Genomic DNA, 26,132 nt, shown 5'->3' on the forward strand with positions numbered 1-26,132 from the left:
AGCTATGGATGGTCAAATCAGAAAATTATATATCTGTACAATCTAAAATTATATACACTCTCAGTGTTCACACAATAGAATATAATTTCAAAATATTCACCAGACCCCAAGAAGCCATCTACAAACCACTTTATCTATGAAATGAAGGTTAAGAACCCTTTCTCCAAAAATAACTTTTTCATCATGAAGCAAAACAATGGATAAATTTTTCACTTTAGGATTAGAAGATACATGTGCACACACACACACACACACACACACACGCAGATACAAACACATACACAAAGTGGTCCAGCATGAACACAGGGGTATCATTTCACATACTTCCAACGTAACTCTATAAAATTAGTTGATATACTGTCAGGAAAAACGCATATCCAATGTCTAATTTAGAACAATCTAGGAATTCTTTATATTACATAATTTTAAAAATTATTAACTTTTCTGGAGAAATTTAAAAAGCTTTTTATCAGAAAATGTATATAGAAAAGAATATAGTAGATAACTCAATTGTACATCCTTAAAAGGATGAATTTACTCCAATAGTTTTTAAGGGAAAATGACAAAAGCTGTTAACAATTTGGGGCCATCTAGAATGAGCCAGAAACTGTTAGTCACTCATGTGAATTATCTTAAAGCTATACTGTAAAAGACACTACCATCACCACTCTACCAATTAGAAAACTTCTAACTAGATTAAGACATTATGAACAAAGAGGAGAAAAAAGTAATAAAAATCGTGAACCCCACCAGGGAGGAAGGTCCAAACCACAGGCATAGATTGATGACAAAGCTGCTTCCTTCTCTGGCAACAGTAAACAGTACCCTTGGGGTGAGTTGTAGCAGAAGTTCATATGTTTTAAAATGAGCAGTGGTTTTCTTGAGCGATGTAGGTGGGTCAGGTAGCATAAAATAGATTTAATTTGATCCTCGTTCTTGTTTTGATTAAGTTAATAGTGCTTCGTTTAACAAAACACCATAAAAAGTTTTCCTCTACTTTTTTTTAAATTTTATTATTATTATACTTTAAGTTTTAGGGTACATGTGCACAACGTGCAGGTTTGTTACATATGTATACATGTGCCATGTTGGTGTGCTGCACCCATTAACGTGTCATTTAGCATTAGGTATATCTCCTAAGGCTATCCCTCTCCACTGCCCCCACCCGAGGACAGTCCCCAGTGTGTGATGTCCCCCTTCCTGTGTCCATGTGTTCTCATTGTTCAATTCCCACCCATGAGTGAGAACATGCAGTGTTTGGTTTTTTGTCCTTGCGATAGTTTGCTGAGAATGATGGTTTCCAGTTTCATCCATGTCCCTACAAAGGACATGAACTCATCATTTTTTATGGCTGCATAGTATTCCATTGTGTGTATGTGCCACATTTTTTTTCTTTTTAACAGCAAAAAAAGCTCATTTGGTCAGACTGAAAAGTAGTAACAAACACAAGGATTGCATATGTTGTATTTTTTAGTTCCTAAGGAACTGTTGAAATGACATAATTAAAATCTTTCACCAGACTTACTTTAACATATCTCTCACCTCTACACAGTTACCATGTGCAGTGGGTGGGGGGACGTGTGTGGGTGTGTGCGTGTGTGTGTGTGTTTATTTAAGATCTATCCTCTTAGCCAATTTCATGCATACACTACATTATTGTAACTATTGCCCCAATTGGTACATTAAGTGTCATTTCATCCTGAAACTTTGTACCATTTGACCAATACCATCAGACCTTCTATTTCATAAAGGATATTAAAGAAAGTTTAAAAAAATAACCAGTACTATCTATATTTAAGTATTATATACACAATCTAATTTTTTGCTTAACATTAATTAAAACAGTTTTTCTTGACAATAGTATTGTAAATAGGTTCTCTCCTGTAATCCATTAGTGAGCACAGTACAGTAAATGCATGGTAAAATGGTATACAGTGAATGCATCTCTAATCTTCCTTGGAGTCAGACTCATATAATGCTCTGGAATCATCATCACGTCTGTACCTGCTACTGAGTGTTGTAAGTGGAATGGAGAAGACAGTTAATAACTGGGATCGCCTTATTTTTCACTTACTCCTTTCCATAAAGAAGTGTAACAATGGAGTACGTTATAAAAAAAGTAGAGTATAATAGGCATCCTTATAAAGGGGTTATACTATAATTTTTTTAATATTTCATTTTAAAATCAGTAATTAAATATGTTAGCATGAATATTAAGCTGAAATTTTTAATAAATCATGTATGGATCATATTCTAAGTAGATCTAGATTTTATAATTACATATAAATATGCAGTCAACAATCAACAAATACTCATTGACAGGGCATACAACCTGCAGCCAGCCTGCTGCATTGAAGCCCCGGCCCTTTGCTCTACACATACCAGTGCAATCTACGTGAACGACAGAGCTCTAGGCAATAATGCCAGGTGATACTTCTTTCTCTTAAACTAAGTGACTTTTAAAAGCATGCAATGTCTTCACATTCACAATCTTTAAGATTTGTTTTTGCTTCAGGAGATGGTGGTAATGGGTGATGGTCATGGTAGTGAAAGGGGTGCGCACAGAGCTATGTTAACATCACCAAAGCCAAGTGTACTTATCTGTCAATTCAAGAGTATTCATGTATCAATTCTCCCACACCCTGTTGTTACCTTAAGAAGAGCGGCAGGTCATCTAGAAAAAGATTAGAGAATTGAAAAATAATCAACACAACCTCATGAGCTTCATATTTTAAGTGACTTATCGCTCCTGCTGTTCACGAACTTGTGATACCACTAGGTTTCATACTGTTTTCATATTAAACAAAGCTCACAAAACTGAAAATATGAAACCCCAAACAAAGGAATTGATCGGAGTGCTAAGAATTTATGTAAGTGTAAAAGAAAAAATGTGGAAGTTAGATTCAAATTTAAAAAGACCAAATCAATTTTTTGTTTGTTTTTTTTGAGACAGAGTCTTGCTCTGTCGCCCGGGCTGTAGTACAGGGCCCAATGTTGGCTCACTGCAACCTCCACTTCTTGGGTTCAAGCGATTCTTGTGCCTCAGCCTCCCCAGTAGCTGGGATTAAAGGTGTGCACCACCACACCCAGCTGGCCTCAAGTGAACCACCTACCTTGGCCTCCCAAAGTGCTGGGAATACAAGTGTGAGCCACCGCACCCAGCCAAGACCAAATCACTTGATTCACTGACAAAAGTAATGTGATAAAAGGAGATTAAATACTTTTTGACAAAAAATGCAGTATATTAAATCCTATGAATGTCACAAATCTGAAAGTTTTAGTGACAATCATACCTGTCACCAAAAATAAAGGCGAGCATTTTGAAACTTCAAATGAAATATTTATGTAATGCAAAATTAATTGTTGAGTCGGAAACTAAATCTTTCACAGGTCACTTTAAAGTCAAAGAAGATTTTAGTGCTGGAAAAATAAATTGTTCTGAAAGAGTCCTGTGTGAACACTACCCATTAAGGATTATCTGTCACCAACATTTAAAACAACAAAGAAAGGCTCAGTACATCTGGTAGAAGATCAACCTAGTGATGCTTTACGATGAACAAAAACATCCTAGGAAAACCCAAAGAGGATATGTAAAAGCAACTCTCCCAAAATTCGAAGCATACTATCTTTTAGTATCACTTAAAACAGCAAGCAATACAGACATTTTCAACTGTTTTCTATTTCAACTGTTTCTATTATAAAACTGTTATAACAGTTTTCTATCAGTGAACCACCTGCTAGTTCTTAATTGACCTTTTAATGGCTATATTTTATTGTGTTACTGGCAGCACTTCTTACTTCCTTTACTATCTTAGATATTCTATAGAACTGTATCCTTTTATACCTGCAGTTGGTTCTTCTTCAAGATTCTATCCTCCGTCTTCTTTCTATAATCATAAATCCTTGGTGTTCTCAAGTACTTTCACAAACACATCCTCTTTAAATCTATAGCAATAGCTCAGAACTCTTTTTCAAACCACAAAATCACATTCCAAAATGTTCCAAACTCAATATATCCTACTGCAAACTCACGATCAGTTTAGGAACTCTAGTTTCTCCTCTACATTAGTTTCTAATTTCAATTAATGGAATCACTATTTCACTGCCAGTAAGCCTCAAAATCTGATAATTTTTTTACTTGAACTTCTGTTGATGAAGAGATCTTCAATTTAATATAATTAGGTTTTAAATAAAAATGACCGGCCAGGTGCGGTGGCTCATGCCTGTAATCCCAGCACTTTGGGAGGCAGAGGCGGGCGGATCACAAGGTCAGGAGATCGAGACCATCCTGGCTAACAGGGTGGTCTAACCTCATCTCTACTAAAAATACAAAAAATTAGCCAGGCATGGTGGCGGGTGCCTGTAGTCCCAGCTACTCCGGAGGCTGAGGCAGGAGAATGGCTTGAACCCAGGAGGTAGAGCTTGCAGTGAGCCCAGATTGCGCCACTGCACTCCAGCCTGGGTGACAGAGCAAGACTCCATCTCAAAAAAAAAAATGATCCTAGCATATGAATAATGCTTATCACATAGCTACTGTTGTTTTTGCAATTGTCTTCAATATGGATTATTTAGCTTTCTCATACAGTAATCCTCCTCTTCTCTAAGAAAACCTCAGTTTTCCAGCCCTTCAACGCAAGAGTTTTGTAATTTTTAATCAATACTTCATTTAATCAATACTACATTTGTGTACCACTGGATATTGAACTAAAATTGAAACAAATTTTCTATAATAAAATGAATACTGATAATTTCATACTTTCTTAAAGAATCAGCTGAGGAAATAAAAATATTCCACCAAATATGCCTATTCGTGTCTTTTTAAATTAAACATTTCAGTGAACAAGATTGAGAATAATACTGGTTCTGATTTGACTTTATTCCTTAAGCATTGTTATGGTTTTTGTCACACACACATACACAAATAAATATTTTAATTTTAATACAGTCAAATTCTGAGTCTTTTGTATCTAATTTAAGAAAATATAACTCTCATAATGTCAAATAGATATTATTGTACATTTAACTCCCAAACTTAAAAAAAAAACCCAGCTTTTTTTTATGGTACATGTATTTTCCCATATTGATGGCTAAGATTCTAAATATCACTTACTGTAAGGTTCAGACTTTCCCCATTCTCTGTTTCATGTATCACAATGAAAATTAAGAAAACTAAGATCATGGTTAGTAGCCAGCAATAAATTAAGAATCCACTTAACCGAAGTGATTCATTTACTTCCCCACTTCATCTCTCTAACATGTCTTCTTCCTTTCAACTCTTTCTATATATTTATAACACTTTAACAAGTTTTTTCTCTTATTAGCTTAATAGGATTTTTTTTCCTCTCCTTCCACCTCTTACCCATGTATTGCCTCCAAAGGAATTTCATCAGAAAATAAATCTTAAAGTGTTTCAAAACAGACAATATTTCATAACATTAGAAAACCACAAGGCTGAAGTGAATTTAAGGAGACATTTTTGTCTTAAGTCTTGAATGAAAAGATGAGGACCTGATATATTATTATCTTCTACTTCATAGAGAGTTTCCTTTATTCTGTTTCTATGGAATTAACTCTTCTCTATAATTCCTGAACAAAGTATTATCCCTGTTGTATTTAAATGGATCTTCTCCTCCTCACTTATAAATAAATTAATATTACGAAGACACTTCCACAAGGCTTATTAATCCAAATTTATTTAATACGAAATACAGGATGAGTGCTTCAAAAGAATGTTCAACCCTAAGCCGTTGATGTATAAACACTACAGAAGATTAAAAATCCTTTTAACACACAGTTATTTCCTAAAAGTAACTAAGTGACTTTCTCACTGATACATGTTCACACAGTTTTCCAAAGTTGAAATCAGTTATAGTGTAATGTATTTGTATACTATGTCTTGCTATAGTTAGAGGATCAAAAAAAGCTATTCTCTGTAAAGCGATTGGAAAGTTTCATTAAAGAAGCTGCACAAAGGAAAACTTAAAGTTTAAAAGAGAGTAAAAAACATTGAATGCTGAGTGGTTCAAAACACTAAAAGTTAATGCAGAGAGAAAATCCTATGGGCAAACAAAATGATTCTTCACAAGCAGGAGCTTTTTATATAGAGTCTGGTGCAGGAAAAACAATGTGAAAAGGAAAAGGCTATAATCCTTCGTATTCCTTCCTATTAACTGCTCAGTTTATAGGAGCAGCTGCAACTTCTATTAGTAGATGCCAAGACAGGGGTTTTAATCAGCTTATAATGGGAAGTGCGCAAGAAACTCCTTGAAAATATTAGCACTAAAACAGAAATGAATGGCAGGAACTGGAACAAAACTAGAGAATTTATAGATAAACAGGCCTAAAAGGGATTAGATTTATTTTTCCCCCCCTGGCAAAGACTGCAGATCGAGAAAACTAGCAATTATAAGGACCCAGTGAGTCTAACCAAAAAATTAAAGCATTATTCTGAGATTTTGATTTCCAAATTTGACTGAAGATAAGAAATGATGCACATACAATCAAAAAGTTAAAATGGGTGAAGAAATACGCCAGGCATAAATGGGTCATGTGTAAAAGACCTTATCTATTATCAATCTCGGCTTATTTTAAAGCCTTCAACAATTTTTGCTCAATATGTACATATTTTTATACATAAACTAAATAGAAAATGTGCCTAAAATATTTTATTTCAAATGCAAATTAGTCGAGACACACCTGGGAATATAATTTATTAAGAAGACTATATTGCTTAGAATATACTATATAAGTACTTTATTGTTGAGCTTAATTAAAAACTATTTTAAAAACATTATTCCAGATTAAATTGAGTCTATGGATGACTTATAAGTGTTACAGGACAGTGTATCATATTTAAGTATTCTTGTAAACAAACATTAGAATCCCAGTCATGTTTTGCACACAGAAAGATAAAAGTGAACCTGAAGATGTATTGACAGCATGCTTATACTTCTGTACTACTGCTTACTAGATAACGCTAAAGGCTATTTCTCAAATAGTTTTCCTAATAAATCTATGGTTTTATTGATTCCCAATAAAGCAATGGCAAATTTTAAGGAAAACAAATTAATAAACTAAAGAGCAAACAACAACAACAAAAGAAAACCTCTTAATAAAAGACTATACACAATGGAAGACGACTAAAACTCTTATTTACCATGATGGATTAAAAATATCAGCTTTGCACACTCTGATTAAACCATGACAGTCACAGCTGTTGTCATTTAGTGTGCTTGCCATTTAATATATGCTAATATAATATACTTAAATGTATGTGTGTATGTGTACATAAGCCCAATTTCAAACAATATGGCAAAGATGTGGATTTCTGAGAAATCCAAGCAATGAAGCTATGGCACAGAAGACAGGCAAACAAGACAAAATCTTCAAATCTAAAAAAAAGTGATTAAGAATTTACTTTTTCTAGCACATACATTAGCAAACATTATTGGTGGTATTGCTTTGATGCACTCCAATTGGAACACACCATTGACTCAAGGCTTCAAAGTGCCAGAGTCTGACTTCTTGCCCAAGGGCCCCGGACCCTTAGTACACACTCCTCTCATCCCATCTGAATGCCTGATGCACATCCTTCAGACTCACACACTTTGCAACTTAAGCTTATAGGCCTTCATGGTTCTTTAATTAAAGTATGTTTTTAAGTTTCATCTCTTTAACTAGATTAGAAATTACTTAAGCTCACAAAATATGTCTTATTATATATTCCAACATTCCATGCTAATTCTGCTGAATAATCTCAAATGACTTGACCTTTGATAAGGAATGCTTCTGTACCAAATAAACATTTAAGTACACAACTGTTCTAGGATTGCTAGGAAATTAAAAATTTATTTGTATCCATAGTCTCTTGTTAAAAGTTTTTACATTGTAAGATTGTCAGCCAGGTGCGATGGCTCATGCCTATAATCCCACCCCTTGGGAGGCCAAGGTGGGAGAATCACTTGAGCCCATGAGTTCAAGACCAGTCTGGGCAACACAGTGAGACCTGATTTCTACTGTAAATAAATAAAATATCTAGGTGTAGTGTTGTACACCTGTAGTCCCAGCTACTCAGGAGACTGAGGGCAGAAGGATCGCCTGAGCCCAGAAATTTTAGGCTGCAGTATGCTGTGACTGCACCACTGCCGGGACTACAGAGAAAGACCCTGTCTCAAACTAAAAACATAAGGAAGAAGAATGCTCATATATAATTCTAAATGTATAATGAGATTACAAAAGACACAAAAGATATATTATTTATTACAAACCCCACTTGCAAGACTAGTGTTTTTCAATTCCTTTTTACTCATCAACTGTAGGAGCTCACTAGGGACAGGTTTCAGGAAGAACAGTTTGAGAACAGTGCCCACCCCTTACTCCCAAATTCCTGAAGTGATAGTGATAGACAATCTCCTTCCAGGTATTTGGTTCCAGAATGATTCTGAACCACTGTTTCTGAAGGTGTGGTAGTTGTACCATTAATTGTTCTTAATATGATTTCAAGCACTACATAAAAGGGCATGTTCTTCATCTTAATAGTTGATAATTAATAAATATTCAGTATACATAAATCGCATTTTGTTTCCACAGACATTTCCTATAACTTCTTTTTGAAATCTATTCATTTAAGAAAAAATTCCTTGCCCAATGTAAGAAAAAATATTTACTGAATAATAGCACAAAAGGATATGGTTTGGTAAAAGTTGTGACACTATGTAATGCAATTTCTTAAATGTAATATAATGGCTCGAAGGTCCATGAACATGGCACCAGGGCTAATGTGTTCATTGTTTTAATCCCAAGATCCCTGCCAGAACAGTCCTTGGACTTATTTTGCAATTCACAGCATTTGCTGGAAGAATTGAATTGACAGGTCCTGCCTTTTAAAAGAAATGAAAAATATCAGCTTTGAGTAAATGACAGTCCTCTATACAAAGTAATTCAAAGACGACTTACATCCCAGTCCTCCAAAAGATCGTTCCCTTACTCACTAAATTGTCTGAAGCTATCAAGTCTTTCCTGCTCAAAACACTGAAAGCCCAACCTCATCCATGAATTACAACTATGATCTGGTGTTTATTGTGTCATATGCATATATCATCATGTGCAGCAGTAGTTCTCAGGAGACTTACAATACTGATGGCAGTGTGGCATGGTCAAATACTAGACATAAAGTATTTTCTAGAAAATAAACAGCTTTGAACATTATCTCTGATACGTGACATTAACTTATGGGATGTTCACAAAATGTCACAGATGATAACATATAGCTGTGTATTATACAGTTAATAAATTGTCTTAACCATAATACAAAAGGAAAAAATTAATAGACACCATAAAATTACCTTTTTCATAGAATTAAGAAGGAAAAATATTATAGATCATCAGCTCTGTAATATTTATTTGAATAGTCTAACCATTTATTAAATAGCTAGTTTTGAGCACTCCAACTTAAGCCTCTCCTTTGAGAGGCTTAAGTATAAAGTGATTTCTAAGATAGTCCCTAAAAACGATGAAAACTCAAATATAACTGAAACCTATTACTAGCAAAACAGTCCTTATATGCTTTGCCAAGAATTTCTACAAATAACAAAGTCAATGAAATTGAAATAAAAAATGAATCAGTAGCCTGCCTATGATTTAGCTCAAGAAACAAAAAAGCCAACACACTTGAGAAAAAGGAAAGAAGATGTTTAACATCTTCCCTTGAATTGCCTCTTAGCCAAAAACACTGCATTTATAAAAGACTAAATACATTTTCTCTTTTTTTAATTTTTTTTTTTTAAATACAGGGTCTCAGTATGTTGCCTAGGTTCGTGTGCAGTGGCGCAATCTCAGCTCACTGCAACCTCTACCTATGGGGCTCACACCATCCTCCCACCTCAGCCTCTTGAGTAGCTAGGACTACAGGTTCACCTCATGATGCCCAGCTAATTTTTGTATTTTTTTGTAGAGAAGGGTTTTTGCCATGGTGTCCAGGCTTGTCTCTAACTCCTGAGCTCAAGCAATGTGCCCACTCTGGCCTCCCAAAGTGCTGGGATTACAAGCACAAGCTACCAGATCTGGCCTATTTCCCTATTTTAAACATTATTTTTAAATGGCCAGAGTACTATTCACAACCTCCTATGTGTATGGCCATTCAGATATTGCAATTAACAGGGAAAAAAAGCAAAAATAATTGATGAGTGAAAGAAGAAAGAAACAGAGATGGCAGCTGTTAAGCCTGCAGTGCAGGAGGTACACCCGCAAGTTAACTGTTATCAACAGGGTGTATTCAGGGATGATCCTGGTAACTGCATATGGTGGAATTTGTAGATGTCTATGATGTCACCATATGGAACACAATAACAATCAGAGGCAACAGAGATAAAAGACACCCTGACTTCATTTCATATGATGCTAGCCACTGAGAACTGGGCTGAATCTAAGCTTATCAACCTTCCTTCTAGTTACAGAGATGGAAAGGGAATATGACCATCACTCATGTGGAAGTTGAGCCATTAGAAGAAAGTCCACACATCTTATCTGCCAGTAAAAACCTAGTCTCACCAGATGTCTCTTCATTCAAGCAAGGTAAATAGTAAAATAAATATATGAAGACTATGAAAAAAATGCTGCAGCACAAGAAAAGGTAATTTTGTCCCGACATATCGGAAAGAAAAACATCTACCTCAAAAGTGATTTAAGGCCGGGCGCAGTGGCTCACGCCTGTAATCCCAGCACTTTGGGAGGCTGAGGTGGGCAGATCACTTGAGGTCAGGAGTTTGAGAACAGACTGGCCAACATGGTGAAACCCCATCTCTAATAAAAATACAAAAATTAGTCAGGTGTGGTGCTGCACGCCTGTAATCTGAACCTGGGAGGCAGAGGCTGCAGTGAGCCTAGGTTGTACCACTGCATTCCAGCCTGGGTGACAGAGCAAAACCCTGTTGGGGGGAAAAAAAGTGATTTCGCACAGAAAACTGAAGAAATTATTTCAAAAGCTGTTCCATATCATCAATAAAATGCTGAGGAATCAATTACTCTGAGATGGAAGAGAAGTTAATAGAGTACACAAAGAAAGGAGATTCTACCTAAGAATGACAGCTGCTCCCGAGGAAGAAAACATGAGTTGGAACAGAAAAAGAATCAAAAGCAAATACTTTCTTGTATTGAAAAACCACAAACAAAACAAAACAATGACCTGAGTGTGCATATAAAGTTTCCCTATGTCCTTTATAAACTTAATGGAAAAGTATCTGTTTCTAGTCACTTTCTCACAATATTTTAAATTATAAAATGTTGGGGAAAAGTTCTTCAAGGTTCTCCTTAAAGAAACCAAATTAACCCAAATAAGTATTTGTTTAGTTATGTAAAAACAACTAAAGAACTTGTTTACGAAAGGTTCAAAAAGATGTGTTTCCTTATTGAAAAAAGTTACTTGATCATTTGGACTATTGAGCAAACAACAGCTAATATTAATTGTGTACTCACTGAGTATTAGACATCTTCTAAACTTCAAATTACTTAATCTTCCAATACACTCTGAAACAGGTACTATTTAGTACCCCATTTGACAGATGAGAAAATTAAGTCATAGGGAAATACACATGACTGCAGGGGCAGGGTTTATATATCGCATGAAAATGAAAAAGTTTGAGAAAGCCTATAAAAAGTTCAGTCATTGTGTACACTGTTAAAGGTCTTGGTTACTTGGATTTCTCCTTAATTTCCCTGCTTGATTCTTCTTTATACACAAAATTATAACAGCAGTCTCTTCTTCATAATATAGAGCTTCTGGTGAGAACCTTGGAATCTTAAAACTGTATGTTATTTTTCATATTACCTGGTGAGATAAGTGTTATCTTTATTAAAGCTACGAAATCTAGGAATTTTTATTGTTGTTAATAAGATTATTTTTATTCGTTAAGACACCATCAAAACAAAAAAAAGTCAGTACAATTCTAAAGCACAATAACTTGCTCTCTTTCAAAAGTATAAGAGCTCTACAATTAATAAAATGAATGTATCTGCATTCTGCTTTTCAACAGTCAAAAACAATACAACCTGAAAAAGAGTGGTCCATTTATCTAAACATCTCAAATTAAAACTTTCAACACCACTAAATGATATAGCTTCTACACACCTTTCTGTTTTCCTTTTTCTTTTTTTAATTTTTAATTTTGTGGGTACATAATAAGTGTATATATTTATGAGGTACATGAGATATGTTGATACAGGCATACAATGCTTAATAATCACATTATTATATATAATAGAGAAAATGGGGTTTCCATGACCTGAAGCATTTATCCTTTCTCAGTGTTACGGAAATAATCCAATTTTACTCTTAGTTATTTTAAAATGTACAATAAAATACTGTCAATTGTAATCACCTTTCTAAATACACAAGTAGTTTCATTTTCAACATTGCTCTTCTTTAATCTAAAAATTACTCATGACAAATTTTAAGTAGCACATTCAAATGACCATAACTAAATAATTGTAAGTCAATCGTGAAATTATAATAGGGTAAGTAATGACTATGTAAGTTATTTTTATAAAAAAATTCTTTCTTCTTTACCGACTCCATTCCAAATCAAGCAAAAAATGTTAGTATATTAAATCAAGTACCAGTAGAGAAAATATTATATGCAAAGGATTATTCGAGGCACTGTGGTAGTTAAAATATAAATTCCAATATTCTAGGAATGTGCAATCAGGAAGTGAAGCAAAATATACTACTTTACATTTTTATTTAATAAAATCTAAATGTGCAGACACTATGGTGCTAGAAAATTCAGATGGGAAATAAAATAAAATATACTTCCTCTTCTGAGTTCATCCCTTTGGTGACCCCAGCTGACACCCAACCTCTCCCCGGCAACCTGCATCCCACATTTTTTTGCTTGGTTAACTCTATTCACTCTTTAGGTCTCAGCACAAATGTCATCTCCCTGATCTACCCTGCTAGGATAATTCCCTATTCTCACCCCTTTTCTAATATGCTCTCCTAACATGTTATCCTTGTCTCTCATAGCACATATAATAAAGCAATTAGACTAATTGCTGTTTCTTGTTTGCCTCCTCAATTAGAAGGTAAGTTCCCGAGGTATAGGACTAGGTTTGCCTTACTTACCACCATGCCCCAAGGCATGGCACATGGAAAGCACTTAACGAATATTTGTGCACTCAAGGCCTGGCACATAGAAAGCGCTTAAAAATATTTGGGAAATTAGTAAATAGGTGCATGAGTTGGGGGTAGGCAGATGGCTATCTGTAATTTAGACCTAGGAATTAAAACTGTGAGAGGAGAGGAGGTAAAACTGAAATTTGCTGAGGAGGGTGAGAGCAAGGAGCAGTGAAGTCCAGTCACCAGATCCAATCATTCCGTGCTTAGGAATAAGGAAATGGTTTAGCAAAGTAGAATGTAAGCAAAATATCACAGACTAAATTTTACTAGAGATAAAATTCACCAGAAAATTGTAAATTTTTATTAAAAATTACAATTAACAAAGTCAATCTAAATAACATAATTCCTTTGTTCAAAAACACATATGGCTTCCCAGTACAGAACTGACAGTGATACAGGCTGAGTGGCCCTTATCCAAAATGGTTGTGACCAGAAGTATTTTAGATTTTGAATTTTTTAAGATTTTGTAATATTTGCATTATATATACTTACCGGTTGAGCATTCCTAATCAGAAAATGCAAAATGCAATATACTCCAATGAGAATTTCCTTTGAGCTTCATGTTGACACTCAAAAAGTTTCAGATTTTGGAGCATTTCAGATGTAATACAAATCATTGGTCTAACATTAAAAAAACTTCTCTGCTTCCATGTCCTCTGTTACAGATTCTTCATATAGTCTATAAGCTCCATTTCCAATAGCATTCTGTAATACACTAACAGGGCTAGAGTTTTAGAGAACAATGACTTTTACCTAGAAGTAACTCCTACCAAGTAGCCCTGTGTTGACTTTATGTGTCCAAAGACTACCATGATGCTTGACACTTTATAGGTCCTAAATAATGGAAACATGTTTGACTTTAAATCTTCTCAACCATTTGCTATGGGATCACGACTAATTTATGTAACTTCTCTGTGACTCAGATAATTTGTCTGAAAGGTAGGTACTGTCAGTTGTCTTATGAGGTGTTTTGTACATAGCATATCCTCAAAAATGAGCTGCTTCTTTTCTCATTCTTCCTCCTGGGGGATTCTTTATTGCTCTTTGAAAAACATGACAAAATTTAACAGTTAAATCAATCCTCCTGTAGAAATCACAAAAAGGAGAGGTTTGTCCCTGTTGGTTGATGACAGTAACTAATTAATGTTATCTTCACAAAGTGTATTTTGAAAGACTCGTTTCACACTCATATAAAAATGAGCTTCCAAGATATAAAATCAATCATCCAATCCCAGACTGCAAAGGCAGATGCAGTTGTGCCAAGTTGAGAAAACAAAGCTTTATAGATTTCAATTCCTGTTGCTTCTCTTAAGTTATTTACTTACTTGAATCCCTCTTTAGTAAGAAGCCTAACAGTGAAAAAGATAACAAAAATAAACTCTCCAGGGATACAAAAACCCAAGCAACTGGGTTTTACTAACAAGCACAGGACATTAATAATAAAGAATAAAGCTGATGATCAGTCTTTGTTTAAATCTTTATACAAACAATGGGTCATTTACTCCAAATTCCAGTGCCCTAAAACAGGATTTATGGACATTTTCTGGCTACTAAATAGAAAGTGCAGATTTTTACTGTTTTCATTTCAAATGATAACATACTATTGTTCCTTTCCTGAAATAAACATAGTTCTTTCAAAGCCCCCAGGAACCTACAAAGTAAAATTGTCAATTACTTTTCTGATCATATATTAATTACCAGGGTGACTTTCAAGGATACAACTTTCTGTTGCTGAGCTAAATAAAGTTTTTGTTCTCTGAACAGAAAATCAGACCAACCACAACATTCTCTTAAGCCAAAATCTAATCCACAGAAAGCCCTTTTTTCAATTCTATGAAGGGTGAGAGAGGTGAGTAAGCTGCAGAAAAGCTGGAAGCCAGCAGACGTTGGTTCATGAGGTTCAAGAAAAGAAGCTGTCTCCATAACAAAAAAGGACAAAGTGAAGCTGTGGCAAGCTATCCAGAAGATAAGCTAAGCTGACAGATGAAGGTGGCTACACTAAACAACGGATCGTCGATGTAGGTGAAACAGTCTTCAGTTGGAAGAAGGTGTCATCTAGAACTTTCATAGCTAGTGAGGAAAAGTCAAAGGCTAGCTTCAAAGAACCATTGGACAAGTAGACTCTCTTGTTAGGGACTAACACCATTGGTGAATTGAAGTTAAAATCAATGCTCATTTACCTTTCTGAAAATACTAGATCCTTTAAGAATTATGTTAAATCTCTGCTTGTGTTCTAGAAATAGAACAACAAAGCCTGGGTGACAGTATATCTATTTTTACAGCATGGTTTACTGAAGATTTTAAACCCACTACTCAGAAAGAAAAAAAGATTCCTTTCAAAATATTACTGCTCATTGATAACGCACCTGGTCACCCAAAAGTTCTGATGCAGATGTACAAGGATATTAATGCTGTTTTCATGCCTGCTAACACAACAACCATTCTGAAGCCCATGAATCAAGAAGTAATTTGAAGTTTCAAGTCTTATTATTTAAGGAATCCATTTATTTAGGGTATAGCTGTCCAGAGATAGTGATTCCTCAGATGGATCTCAAAAGTTGTTTCCACTCTCATGGATGACACTGAGGGGTTCAACAGTGCAGTGGAAGATGTGGTGGAAATAAAAAGAGATGTGAAAATAGCAAGAGAAAGAAATTTAGAAGTGGAGCCTGAAGACGTAAGTGAATTGCTGCAAAATTATAATAAAACCTGAATGGATGAGGAGTTGTGAGGAGTTGTTTTTATGGATGAGCAAAGAAAGTGATTTCTGGAGATGGAATCTGCTCCTGATGGAGGTGTTCTGTTATACTGTTAAAATGACAACACAGGATTTGAGTATTACATAAAGTTAGTTGATAAAGCAACAACAGGTATTGAGAGTGTTGATTCCAATTTTGAAAAAAGTTTTACTATAGGTGAAATGTTGTAAAATGGCATGACATGCTACAGAGAAATGTTTTGTGAAAAGAAGAGTCAATTGATGCAGCAAACTTCATTGTTGTCTTCGTTTAGGAAACTGCCACAGCCGCCCCAAATTTCTGCAACCACCACTTTGAACAGTCAGCAGCCATTAACATTGAGGCAAAACCCTCTAACAGCAAAAAGGTTACTACTTGCTAAAGGCTTAGATGATTGTTAAGACTTTTTGCAATAAAGTGTTTTTTTTTACTTAAGGTATGTACATTGTTGTTTAGATATAATGCTACTGTATACTGAATAGCCTATAGGGTGGTACAAATGTAATTTTTATCTGCACTGGAAAATCAAAATATCTGTGTGACTCCCTGATATGGTTTGGCTCTGTGTTCCCACCCAAATCTCATCTTGTGGCTCCCATAATTCCCACGTGTTGTGGGAGGGACCCAGCGGGAGATAACTGAATCATGGAGGCAGGTCTTTCCTGTGGTGTTCTCATGATAAGCAATAACTCTCACAAGATCTGATGGCTTAAAAAATGGGAGTTACTTTGGGAGGCTGAGGCAGTGGATCGCCTGGAGTCAGGAGTCCGAGACCAGCCTGGCCAACATGGTGAAACCCTGTCTCTACTAAAAATACAAAATTAGTGGGGCATGCTGGCATGTGCCTGTAATCTCAGCTACCTGGGAGGCTGAGGAAGGAGAATCGCTTGAACCCAGGAGGCAGAGGTTACAGTGAGCCAAGATCGCACCACTGCACTCCAGCCAGGGACACAGCGAGCCTCAGTCTCAAAAAAAAAAAAAAAAAAGCAAGAGTTTCCTTACATAAGCTCTCTGTCTCTTTGCTTGCTGCCATCCATGTAAGACATGACTTACTCCTGCTTGCCTTCTGCCATGATAGTGAGGCCTCCCCAGACATGTGAAACTGTAAGTCCATTAAACCTCTTTTTACTTCCTAGTTTCAGGTATGTCTTTATCAGCAGCATGAAAATGGACTAATACACTCCCTTTATTGACCACCTGTTTTATTACTGTCTGCATGCAAACACGCAATAAATTTGAAGTATGACTGTATCTATAGTAGTAAGTCTCCCAAGTCCTAAGTATCCTGCTATTTCATTATTCCGCAACTAAAACAATACATTGTTAAGAAAATCAATTCTTTAAGTTGAAAATTGAGTCCACTAAGCTTGGCATTCATTACCTAACTTTGAATTTTGTGTAGTTATTCATAATTCTAATCAAAGAATGCTCTGACCGAAGTATTTTAAGATAAACAAATTTCTCCAAGACTTAAAAATCTTAAGACAATTCTCTCCCTAGTGCCAAAAAGTAAAAATAACAAAAATATAGCTCATCACAGAATCTACCTTATGTGAAGAAAAAGTACAATATTTAGGTAATTATTCTTAAACTTACATTTAATGTTCTAAGTATAAGACAACCTAAGAAAGATTTCAAAAACATATTTTGAAATAGTTAAGATTACTGTCCTTAATATATAAATATCCAGGGTATAGAAGGTTAACATGTATCACCCATAACACTTGTAAAGTAATTATAGACAACTGCATGTTGATAGGGATTGTTGGCCTTTCTTAAAAATGCTTACATTGTATTCTATGTCAATCTTTTGACTAAAAGTGACAGTAAATTCTGAAATATATTTCTCTAAAACAATTTTAAGCACAAGTTTGAGTTGTGACTGTATTATTTGACACCTGCATCTTTCAGATTCAAAAATTTAACTTAGAAAATGTCACTCAGGCTGGGCATGGTGGCTCACGCCTGTAATCCCAGCACTTTGGGAGGCCAAGGCAGGCAGATCATAAGGTCAGGAGATCGAGACCATCCTGGCTAACAAGGTGAAACCCCGTCTCTACTAAAAATACAAAAAATTAGCCGGACATGGTGGCAGACACCTGTAGTCCCAGCTACTTGGGAGGCTGAGGCAGGAGAATGGTGTGAACCTGGGAGGCGGAGCTTGCAGTGAGCCAAAATCACGCCACTGCAATCCAGCCTGAGCGACAGAGCAAGATTCTGTCTCCAAAAAAAAAAAAAAAAGAAAATGCCACTGAGTAACTCTCACTTGAAGTCAACCCTGCCCTAGCTGTAGTACCATTTCTAAGCACTTTTCTGATTCTGTCTTTATATTAGTCTAAACTGAGTGCTTTTCTATAGTGTTATATTTTTCTATTATTTCATAATATTGCACAGTTAAGAATTTTTTAGAAATCACTAGGTCCAACTCTGTTTACATATGAAACATATTTGATTATACTCAATGGAAAGATTGTATTAAAGTCATTGGATTAAAGTCATTGGGTTTTGGGTACTGAAACTAAAAATGAACCCAGGTGATTTTTAGACTCTTAGTGTACAACTCATCACAGCCTGCTACATTGCATTCTCTTTCATACTTACTTTACCCCAAGAATAATACATTTGAGGCAAGGTTTATGTTAGATTATTTTGGAAATACCTAAAAAATACAAATTAAGTTAGTATTGATTGATTGCTTTGATTAATTACACTGCCCACTTAACAATATGCAGAAGAAAACAAATTAACTAGAATACCGCCAGTGACCATTTACTACTATACATCATTGAACTACAGCAGTCTTAGTGTGTTTTCTTAACTTTATTAAGGATATCTTTGATGATCTGAGATTTCTTTCTCTTTCTCTTTCTCTCAGTGTACCTTAAAGAAAACCTGGATAGGAGTTTATCTAAACCATTATTTTCTAAATTGTTATTTCAATTGATTGAAAATGTAATTAACAATATTATTATACCTGAGGGGGGTCACTTAGGGATTCTGTGCTACTTCTCAATTGGCATTGACTTATGTTAAGACTATCTCTCCTGAATCCATGTATATCCTCAAGATAAAGGTCTCTGGTCACAAACAATGCTCACACAAATCTTCAGAAGGAAATTAGGGATCTCTATCAAAATGGGCCACTTAGAATTAATCCACTCTTGATTTTTAGTACAAGAACTAAAAGCAACTATTCTTCTCTGGATCCTCAAGGAACGCATGTCCTACTTAAAGGATGCCTCCAAGAAGGAAAGCTAAACAAGATGCATTTCCTAAAGCTAGGGAAATGCAGACACAGCAAAGAGAGTTGGTGCCTTCTTTTCCTATTTGGGAAGGGCATTTCCTATCTTCTTACCTGACTTCCTTCTTTCTCAGCTAGAATGATAAAAATGTGTAAGGTCAACCCTCAGGGCTGATTCCAAGGTAAAAGAGACAAGAAACAGACCCCATATCCAGCCAGTCGAGGCTTGCATGAAAGACTTTGTTATGGGTTGCAAGGTCATCATTCAGAAATTCAGTGGGCTGGCAATAAAGAAAGTGCCTTTTTGCAGATCACACCGAACCTAGCATGGAAGACAGCTACATTTTACCAGCCTGAAGAAAACTCTGACTCACAGATAGGAGTTTCCAGCCATATATCTAACAGTTTAATATCTTAGACAGTCGAGTATCTAGATCCAAAGAAGTGAAACAACCACTAGATACTGCCTTTTCATACTTCCTATGCAAAAGATGCAGAAGTAAAAGTAATGAAAAATTTCAATATTTGTATTTGTCCACATTATCTTTGAACACATTTTACTGGTATTTGTATACTGATTTGCTAATTGTTTTCAAAAGTAAAAAGAAGAATTTAAATATTTAAAACACATTGTGAAATTCAATTTGTCTATATCCAAATACACTGATACCACATATACATAATAGGAAACTAGTTCAATAGAAAGCATTTCATTGAACATGCAAAAAGATTAATGAATATGTGACTCTACTGCACGATGGATCAAGTTTTCAAACCTGTTTACAAACAAGTTTTAACAAGATACATATACAACATGGCATCCAGTCTATCACAAACTCATTTCTAATTCCATAAAATAAACTCTTAATATAAACTCAATTATTACATAGGTAAATTCCCTACTTTTGCCCTTTAGCTTCTTTTACTTGTTTTTCATATTTGGAGAGATCATAACAATAATGTTTCTGGTGTTAGACATTTCAGAATGAATGTCGTAACCTAGGCAGAAATAGAATATGGGGAGAAAAATATACTTGTGCATGTATGTGCATACATACACACACACACACACACACACACACACTTTACCTAAGCATTTAGTAATATCCAAACACTACACAGTTTAGCCTCAGTTCTACTCCATAACAGAAGATATATGTGTGCTTATTTCATCTTGTCTCTTCCATTTTACTAAGATACAGTGAATTCCATCAATGTAACTGCATTGCATTACATCAATGGCCTAAAATAAATAATTGGCATTACATTTAATACACTGATCAATGAAAATGAAAATTTTAAAATTTTGTAGACTATAATAATTCTTTAAAAGGAGGCTTAGAATATTTGTGCACCCTTTAAAAGCAGCATATATGGCTTTATGCCTTTAATTTCTAACAATTTAAATATCAATGTCTATAACAATATAAACTTCAGCAATAATTTAGAGTATGCTTTTTTTTTGTCAAATTGCTGACATTTCATTTTGTGTAATAAGATTTAGGTCATGGCCAAGCTAAGTGGTTCACACCTGTAACCCCACACCTTTGGGAGGCTGAGGTGAGAGTACTGCTTGGGCCAGGAGCTCAAGGCCAGCCTGGGCAACACAGCGAGACTCCACCTCTACAAAAATCACAAAAAATTAGCCAGGCATGGTGTTATGTGCCTGTATTACTTAGGAGGCTGAGGTGGGAGAACTGTCTATGCCCAGGATTTGGAGGTGGCAGGGAGATATAAATGCCACTGCACTCTAGTCTGCAGACTGGGCAAGATCTTGTCCAAATAAATAAATAAATAAATAAATAAAATTCAGGCCTCTATCCTCCCTATTTACAACTTCCAATATAACAAAATAATTTTGGCACTTCTTAGGTATCCTAGCTCTTAGACTGATATTTAGTCTTGCATTACAGTTCACAGCTCCTGCAGTGAAAATTATCAGCTAAAATGCTTGTTAAATTATTAAAATCTTGCATTTAAAAAGTCAAAATATAAAAGGCTTAGCAGGAAATAACACTTGAGAGAGGGCAGAAATGGAACACAGTGGGGAATAATAAGAAAAGGAGGTATTAGAAGATAAAATGTGAAAGTTGTGGCAAATTCTTATACATAATATCTAAATTATTGGTGTAATAACATTGTGGGAAGGGCAATTTTTTAGAGACTTCAGTTTTCTGTTAGTAAAATGCCAATGTGCTATAACTCTCTTGCAATAAGTGCAGTATTCCTAAAAGACCAAAAGGTTAACTGCTACTTCATCCCAAAAGATTTTACCCATGAGACTTGTACTTCTAGTTTAGATTAATATTTTTTAACTGTGTGCTTAAAACAAAATAAAGTTTTGTTTAGTAGATTCTAGAAAATATTCTGAATTGCTATTTGGCAGACATACTTTTATCACCAACCAAACTATCGTCCTACACTCAGCATACTCTTTAAGCAGAATCTTGATTTTATTCTCTCACCTCAAACTGACCATGACCTTCATGAAGGTCGAACATGCCCCCAGCTCTGAATCACAGTTGAATATAATTAATGGTTGCCTCATTTCCCCTAGGCTAGTGACTGTTCTAAACAGAATCATAAGATCTGACTGTGACCAATAATGGAGAACTTGCACTTGCAAAGAAATGGTTGTGGAGAAGCTTCCCATTTCTATATCTGGACACAACTATGTGAGGAGGTGATGCTGGAACAGGCCTACTGTCTGAAGTTCACAGGCTGAGGATGACAGGAAAAAATAAAAGATTTAACTAACCTGGTGATGATGCCACTGAGCCCTTGAATTAACCCTGAAACTGTGCTAACTATAGACATCTTATTATATGAGACAATAAACAATATTTAAGCTATGATTTGTGTCTTTTCTTACCTGTGGCTAGAAGTATCTTAACTGATGTTAGGATATTTTATTAGAATTTTTGTATGTATTCACACATAATACACATCCTAAAACAAAGCCATATGAGCCACTATTAACAAAGTTATTTCTAAAAATGAAAAAGAAACATTTCTATATTCAAATATTCTAATGAAGATGATACTTCATTAAGATGTAAAAATGAATCAACATCATTCAGGATGTTATATCATAGCATCACAGCTTACTATAGGTCTAAAAACCTGATTTACATTAACAAATAATTTATAATAATTATCTACATAGATTATTTAAATTCTGTTAACTTGATAAGGAGACTTCCTTTATCTCTGCTGTTTAGTAACAAGGCAGAAAATATACAAAGCTGCTCATTTTAATGTCATCATGCCATTTTCATTTGTAATTTTACATATTTTTGGGGAGTAAGAACTGGTTATGCATGTTTTCATTAAATATGAAAATTAAGAGTCTACCTGAGGTCATATATTTTAACTTTTTCTTAGTAATTGTTTAAGTGACAATGTCACAAAAGTAATCGTATCATTCCAAAAAAGAAATCAATCATTAGCAAAGAAAATGTAGGAGTCCAGGTTGATTGATACCAGGAGAAGAATAATGTATACATTTTTATTCAATATTAAACTAGTAGGAAAAAATAGAAAATTGAAACTTATTCCGTGAATAGTTCAAAAAGCTTTCTAATAGATATCTCCCTTACAAATAATCCACTTTTAAAAAATATTTTATTGTCTTCTGGGTGTAGTGCCACAGGCCTATAACCCCTCACTTTGGGAGGCTGAGGTGGGCCGAACACTTGAGCTCAAGAGTGCAACATGGCGAAAATCTGTCTCTGTGAAAATCTGCAAAAAATACTAGCCAGGAGTGGTGGCATGTGCCTGCAGTCCCAGGTACTTGGGAGGCTGAGGTGGGAGAATCGCTTGAGCCCAGGAGGTTGAGGCTGCAGTGAGCTGAGATCCTGCCACTGCACTCCAGCCTGGGCAACAGAGTGAAACCCCGTCTTAAAAAAAAAAAAAAAAAAGATTGATAAATATAATTCAAACATGGTTATAATGGGCTGTGTACTACAGTTCAAACAGGTCTAAAACATTACAATAAATTTAAATTTATGACAATTACGGAGGTACCCATGGAGAGGTGTCTTGTCAACCGTAGTACTTGTTTTTACAACTGGAGAGTTAAGTAATAAAGATGCAGCCTTGCCCTATTGCTCCAGTTATAAGTTCATGTTTTCTTTATGCACTTATCAGAAACATCATACTCACCCTGGTATTTAGAGAACAATATAAATAAAAACAAAACTTCATATTATGGTGTCATTTAGAGTTACAATTAGCCAACTGGCCACTATACAATGTTCAATAATCAACTTTGTGCACATATTTATACCATCTGAGCAATTACAATTTAATTTAGTTTGATGAAACCATAAGGAAACAAGACCTTTTCTGATTATAAATTCAGACATAAAATTAAATTGGAGATCAAAATATTCTGTAAAGAACATCCCCATCACAGGATGTTTCTTTCTTACTCTATTATCAAGAAATCTTTCTTGAGAAATCTCTCAGTTTAAAAAAGTCAACTAACTGTGTTACTGGTTTCTTTTACCTGTTGCTTTGATTTCCTCTCAAAACACTCAACCTTGCTTAATCTTTGTGTTTTTCTAAAATTCACATCACTTTTTTCTTAGTCTTTCATTTTTTCTCCAATGTCCCTGCCCCTACCCAAACAATCTTGTATATTTACTACTGGTAATTTTTGCATTTTTTACCAATTGGTGTGCAAACCTTCAGTAATTCTCTACACTAAACATTCATAATATGGTGGAGCAGGAAAGGGCACACACAACTCTCACATAATTAGAGAGATTGCTCACCCAAGAAAAACATGCCTATTATTTCAAGTTTCTCAAGATCTGTTAAGAGCTTTGAGTTACTCACTCTTTTGAGGTATTCTAATGTTGTGTAATGATTCATGGTTTGTAACAATTTCTTTGTGAATTGCCCTCAGAATTCTGAGACAACAAACACGTCGTGTGTCTACTACCACGTGCTGAAGAATTCAGACACCATTATTCTGGATGATTACAAATCTCTCATTTTTCACTCAAAGCTATTATCTTCAAAAACCTAGTTTTCTTGCCCAGACAGAGGCCTACCTTCTTCTCAGCCATGATTTCTTAACACTATGCACATTATTATTTTTTTCTCATGTTTTCTTCTACTCAAATACCCAGTGGTGATTACAAAATCTCACATACAGGTCTGATATTTTCCCTGAACATTATACCTTTCTATTAATACCAACTTAATTCATATCACATTTTATACTTTCTAGGATACATACAAAAATAAGATGTCACGTAATCTTCATATTAATAATTTCCCAAGGTTAATGAAAAAGAACAGAAATTATTGCCATGACACATGCAGGAAAACTTTGAATTAGTACAGTTAAAATATTTGGCCAAGAATTAAAACTGGGATTCCAATTTGGGTCACCTTCAAGGTTAGTGCTCTTAATTGCCATACTGCGTTTCTTAACATTCTTCATGTCTATGATGACAATACTGTAAGTAGGAGTTCACATACAAAACTTGAACCTTTTTGTCATGGGTATTAAGCTCTTAGATCAACAGAACTCCACTCCACACAATTCTACAAAGTGTAATGGAACAGTTTAATACAGCAAACTCCAAAACTAAAAGGAGATCTGAAGCTAACAGGCATTGTTTTGGTTTTGGTTTTTTTTCTAATCTTGTCGGTTGCCCAATCTCCAACAGCAGCCAACTGGTTTCCTCCATGAATGGAATCTAGTGCATGTTACGTCTAAATGGTAACCCTGCAAGTCTTATTTGTAAAAGTTTAGTCATAGCTAAAGCTGCATGCATAGTGAATAAAAAAATGTTGAATGGTCCAAGTGTTGGTTTATTGGGGGGAAAGCTATGTGGTAACTTATTTGATTGACTCATTGACGATTATTTTTTAACTCTTTTACTTATTTATAAGTAAGCAGCTCCTCTGAGTTAATACATGCTATCATCCAGGTTAATATGTATTAAATATCTACACCTTGTTAGTTCATGAGGTTACAGAAAGGGAGGGCACTGGTCTGGAACCTACATGTGTCAAGTGAGGTGACTGTATCATATGGGAAGGGGGTATAAACTTGAAGCAGTAATCCATGGAGTGGCATAGAAAAGCAGCCAGGGATGTAATCAGAAAGGAAGAGATGCCTGAGCATTCATCCAGAAAGTGGCAAGCAGAATGGCAGGGATTTGTCCACTGCAAAAAAACAGCATGTTCCTTCTTTAGCTTTGAGGTCTTGTGAGTCTGAAAATGAGGATCCGCCCCCTGCACCCATCATTCCAGCTGAGTCAAATTACTGTGTACCTCCTCATGCCAGGCTATGCTGCTTCAGCACTTGGCACGCGCTGCCGTCTCTGTTTCGAATGCCCTTTCCCACCTAACTCATTCCTCCCACCCTTCCATACTTAGACAAGTCTGAGCTTTTCTGACCAGTCTTTCCTGAACAGTCCTCCATCCCATCATCACCTTAACTACTGAGAGTGAAAGCTTCTTCCTACCCAGGCTACCGGGGTTCATGCACCCTCTTTGGTTGGTTTACTTATCTGTCACTAAACTGAGATCTCTTTAAAGCAGGAACAAGATCTCTTTTTACCTAACTCATAACACAGGGTAAACAGACAACAAATGTGCTGACTAAAATGCTAATATAAAAAATCCCTTAGTGAAATGTGCAATGTTACATGTGAATATTGGTAAGGCAACATAATAGCAAATATAAATTTAAAGAATATCTTTTAAAAAGGTAACATTCCCTAAGAGTATTATTTCAAAGTTTAAATTTTTCTGTAGGTAACCATGTATGTATCCATTTGGTAATATGTGTATATGTGTGTGTGTGTATATACATTCACGTGTCCCTTAAGGATGGGATATGTTATAGTAAATGCACCACTAGGCAATTTTGTTGTTGTGTGAACATCATACAGGTCATAAAACCTTTATGTAAAAGCCTTCTACACACCTGCACTATTATGGTATAGCCTATTGCTTT

The 26,132-nt window shown here is 35.3% G+C and overlaps 1 protein-coding gene across 7 annotated transcripts in view; it reads right to left on the minus strand.

The window, feature by feature from the left end:
- The window catches only part of PDGFC (platelet derived growth factor C), a 211,346-nt gene that overhangs the window by 104,497 nt on the left and 80,717 nt on the right, over positions 1–26,132 (minus strand). Inside the window, exon 1 of one of the 7 annotated variants that reach the window (XM_047415971.1) lies at positions 8,956–16,876. The exons of the other annotated variants lie outside the window; for them this stretch is intronic. The gene's annotated coding sequence lies outside the window, so the exon portion shown is untranslated. Of the gene's footprint in view, positions 1–8,955; positions 16,877–26,132 lie in introns of those variants that run through there. 7 annotated transcript variants of the gene reach the window in all.

This window comes from Homo sapiens, chromosome 4 (genome assembly GCF_000001405.40).
Source record: "Homo sapiens chromosome 4, GRCh38.p14 Primary Assembly".
Lineage (NCBI taxonomy): Eukaryota > Metazoa > Chordata > Mammalia > Primates > Hominidae > Homo > Homo sapiens.